This window comes from Homo sapiens, chromosome 10, assembly GCF_000001405.40.
Source record: "Homo sapiens chromosome 10, GRCh38.p14 Primary Assembly".
Lineage (NCBI taxonomy): Eukaryota > Metazoa > Chordata > Mammalia > Primates > Hominidae > Homo > Homo sapiens.
The window spans coordinates 6,677,914-6,682,525 of record NC_000010.11 but is presented as its reverse complement, the minus strand read 5'-3'; the positions used below and the strand labels follow the sequence as shown (position 1 = coordinate 6,682,525).

The 4,612-nt window shown below is 36.6% G+C and overlaps 2 annotated features.

Annotated features, from left to right (window-relative positions):
- Positions 3,895-4,396: an enhancer, noted in NCBI's record as "NANOG hESC enhancer chr10:6720092-6720593 (GRCh37/hg19 assembly coordinates)". NCBI's record gives its function as "activates a minimal SCP1, AML or CMV promoter by ChIP-STARR-seq in primed H9 embryonic stem cells {active_cell/tissue: H9 hESC(primed)}" and the evidence as "EXISTENCE:reporter gene assay evidence [ECO:0000049][PMID:30033119]".
- Positions 4,077-4,235: a silencer, noted in NCBI's record as "fragment chr10:6720253-6720411 (GRCh37/hg19 assembly coordinates)". NCBI's record gives its function as "represses an EF-1alpha promoter that drives an FKBP-Casp9 reporter gene in an ReSE screen in phorbol 12-myristate 13-acetate-treated (for megakaryocytic differentiation) K562 erythroleukemia cells {active_cell/tissue: K562(+PMA)}" and the evidence as "EXISTENCE:reporter gene assay evidence [ECO:0000049][PMID:32094911]".

Below are 4,612 nucleotides of genomic sequence, written 5' to 3'. Positions count from 1 at the left end.
CCCTGAGAAGAATGTCTTTTGTTCATATAGCTCAGAATAAATTGTTGCATGGTAACAATGGAACCAGCCAGTTCATTGCACTTCCCTCCCATAGACTGAGAATGAAGCTTTCTTGTTACTAGATTACATTTTTGAAGAAAGAAATATATATATATAATACTGCCCTTTAGAAGGAAAGCATAATTTCCATTCCAAACATTGGTTTTGGGTGGCAGACACACACACTCATTAGGACAATTCTCTGTGGCATAATCAACATTGCTGTTGAATGTATTTCTGATGGAAAAAAAATCCCAAAAATACACTTGAACTTGTATAATCTCTGAAAAATTATACCTTTCTTTAATGTTTTACCCCCAAAATTTCTTTTGTAGTTAATGCCCATGATGAATCAAATAATGAACCAATGAGTTAGCCTAAACACAAAAGGGCCAGAAAAAGAAAAAAAAAAAGAACTATGCTAATAAAAAAGATCAGAATATGCCACCCTTAAATATGCCACTTTGACATAAAAATTATTTGAGCTGAAGGCACTAGAGAAACAGCAGATACAGGAAGAATTCTCTGGCCTTCCTCTTTCTGCCTGAAAAACAGGGAATACATTTTTATTTGTAAAGGCGTCTCCCTCTCCTGTACCAGGAAGAGGAGAATGACTCTTAATCATGCAACATAACGCTTATCACTAGAGACTTGCGTTTGAATTAAAAAAAAAAACTTACTAAATAACCCTTGTCTATATATAATATATATTTTATATATATATAATTTTTTCCACAATTTATCACACCTAGAAACCCCTTTTCTTTTGTCACTTCTTCACAATGTATCACCCTTTGTTAAAATAGTATATAAGCTCTCAAACTTAACCATTTCTTTGGGATTTCACTTCTTTTCTGCAAAGCTGCCACATGCATTTGAAATAAAATGTTTTTTCCTGTTACTCTGTATTTTATCAGTTTGATTTGCAAGCTCCAGTTACAGAACCTAAGGTGATAGAAAGAAGTTCCCCTAGATTGGCAACATCATGACTATCCAATAAATGTTTGTAGAAAGATGCCAACAGCCTTTAGGTACTCCCAAAGGATCAGATAATTATTAGATCTAGGAGGTGGGGTCGGGAGTGGAGTATCTCGAGACCATGCCAAACTTCTCTTTACCAATGAAGAAACAGGGACTGGGAGTCTTATTTGTGACACACAGCCCAAGCACTCACCGCGAATTTACATTTAAGTTACCAATTAGAGGTATGTTTGCAAAATGAGTCTTCTGACTGCATTGCAGAATCCTTTCTGCTATTCCCTGGTGCCTCTCAACTCACACAACCAGAGAAACCCAGTTTAACCTTTTTTATTTGTGTCTGTTTTTAACACATGTATGTTATTCTTATTTGATTACCAGTGTGATAGAAAATATCCATAGAATCCTGAGATGAGTTGGGCAGATAATAAATCTCGACTTGCTGGACGCTTAGACTTGGAGGACTTCCTTTGAACACAGAAGTACGTCCTGCCATTTGAAGATTTGAAGATGCATGTGAAAATGAGATTTTTTGAGGTTTTGTTTCCCAGGCAACTGCTCTCAATTCAAGATTGGATGTGAGCATTAGAATCCCCCCAGAGGTACTCTCCCCCTCCCACCCTCATCCTCTTTACTGCAATGAAGCTGTAGACTCAGAGGACCCAGCGTTCTAGCCTCCTTTGGAGACTGAAAGCAGATGCAGAGAAGGTTAAGAAATGATGCGAAATTCGTAAGCATAAAATGCCTGCAGGCAAGCAAAGCATTCTAAAAACATTCAGTGCCGAGAAAAGGCACGTGTTGACCAACGTATGGGGAGGCTAGAAAAGATGGGAAAAGAAGCCATTCTGTCATCGGTCATAACCTTCCAATATCATTTTATCTCAGCAGATAATGGAACAGGGAAAGCCAGGTTTTTCAAAGCCATAAAGTAAAGCTTTAGTAGCTGAATGACAACTAAATTGCTGTCGGGGTGGTTTAGCACAAAACAAGCCACTACTGTTCTCTGTTAAAACAGTTCCTGAGATTTGCAAGCCAAGGAATCCAAAATCACCCAAGCAGTCAACATGACTTAAAGATTTTCCAGTAGTTTCAGGGCCCATTAAATTTATGTAATATCTACAATATCAACTATGAAAAAAATGTTTTGTATTCATGGATAAAATGTAAGTGGCTACTTCTCCAGAAAAGAGTATATGTCTTTTCTACCAGAAACTTCAGCTTTTTGAAGCAATGGAGAGTTTCACAGTGGGGGGGTCTGGCGGCATGGGACATCTTAAACTGGTTATTTCAAAGGTATTTTTTTCTTTCTCAATGTGATCATGGCACTAGACTTTAGATATAAATCATAAGAAGCACATGTCGAATTTGACATTGGTAAACAAAAGTAACCATTGAGCCCCTAGGAGTTAGAACATTTTCTTGGCAGGTTAAAGGTAAAAATGTGTTCTTTAAAAGAAAGATCCAGATGAAAGTATTTGTCATTAAACTTTCACTATTTCTCTCTCTCTCCACACACACACACACACACACACAGTTATCGATCTATCGCTTCTTCTATCAAGTGTATTTCTGAGAAATAGTCTAAGAATATCTAGCTTAGCAATTCTTTTCAGTAATGAAGCTTGTGTAGAAGAAGAGGTATGTGTGATGTGAATTCTAGACTATTCTAGAAGACTATGAGCTTTTTTCTGAATTTCAAGAAATCTTGCTATCTTTTCTTGATGAAATTAACCTATATACCACTACCCTGTATTTTCTGTGGAGCTAAGATAATAAGGTCCTCAAGTTTTCATTTCCCAATAATTTTTCTAATTTCTTTTGTTTCATTTTGATGCCAGGACCCACGAGACTGAGAGAATTAGCTATTGAACTTTTCAGAGAGCTCAGTTGTTTTTGTTTTTGCTCAAGTTGTTTTCCCCCATCACCTAGAAGGCATTTAGACCATCCCTTCCCCTCAGCTATGCCCACATTTCTGACTCTCTAAACAGGTGGATATTCCAGAAGTGTAAACCCGTCTTAATGGCCCAATAATTCTCTAGATGTGTGGACGCAGAGGGAACAGAGAAGGGTCATATGCTTCCTAAATTCAGGACTAGCCATGTGACTTTTCCTTATGGTGTCTTGATTTGATTATATAAATAAAACAAGCGGAAAATCCAGAAAGCTTTTCTCCAAGCCACACTTTCATAGTGTAAATATCAGGCCTTAAGCAGAATGAGATGCTCACAAAATGTCAGATCTATTTATGGGAGGAGTTTTTAGGGTAAATAGAGCAAAATGAACACTCAGATGACTGGCAAGGAAATAAAGCATTGTAGGACCTACATAGTTCAGATGGCACTTTAAGTGGCCAGGAGATGGTGCCAATTTGCCAAACATTTAAGTGGTTATAATTTCAGGCTGTGAAAAATAATATCTTCTCTTTTAACTCAAGAGGGCCAGTACTTTTATGGTGTTTATTATACCCAAGGGACAACTAATTTCATAAAACCTAAGGTAGGAATGAAGAAAAGACAAAAAAAAAGTCAAGAAAAGAAAGAAAACAAGAAAACAAAGAATGAAAAGGAAAATAAATAAGATAAAGAGTATAAAATGTGGAAAAATAAAATATAAAGAAATGTAAGGATGAAAGAGAGGATAATTGTAAAGTTGCCTCTGAAATCTGAAAGAGCGTGATCCCCTATCTGTGCAGAACAGAGTTGAAGAAACAGAACAATTGTGACTAATTCTTATTATGATTATGCACATTCAAAATGCCGAAGATAAAAACTACATAATTTCAAACACTTTTTCTGTTTCAGAGTTTTGCTGAAAGTTCCTTAGGCATTTGTGTCTATGAGCAATTCCAAAATTCTATGTTGCAATATAATAAGCTCAGAATTTTGTATATGGCAGGGGTGTTAGGAAAGATTTGATCTGAACTCCTCATTGTGCAGATAAAGAAACTAAGGAAGATTTTCCCAGGTCCAGAAGCTTGTTTTCCCTTCATTTCCATGCAACAGGAACAAAGGAGAATGTGGGCAGATAAAGAAACTAAGGAAGATTTTCCCAGGTCCAAAAGCCTGTTTTCCCTTCATTTCAACGCAACGGGAACAAATGAGAGTGTGGTAATGGAGCCAGAAGGGGGCGCATGATGATCGCTGATGACGAATTTTGACGGTGCAATCTGGATGTTAATTTCGCTGACCTTGAAGTCAGGGTGGCCTACTTGCAGCATTGTTCTATATAACTTCAGCCTCAAATTGAAAACCATACATATTTCGTGGTAGGCATCTTGCTTTTAGAAATTTGATGTAGGGAGGGACAACTTCATGGATTTCTAAAGCAAGGTTTGTTTTACAGGCCCAATTTCTTCCTTTCCCAAGCCAACTAATCAAACATGCTTTTGAATGTATTTGCTGGATTCCAAAATATTTCAGACACTTATTTATAAAGGAATGATTTTAAAATAGGATCCAATTTTTGTTCTGTAAATGTTTAAACTGAATATTTCCTAAGACCATCGGCTTGTTTTCAATGAATTTTTTTGCAAAGGGAATGTTTAAAGTGTTTTTAAAACCTCAGAGTTAAATCATTTTCAAAACTTGTTTCCTGG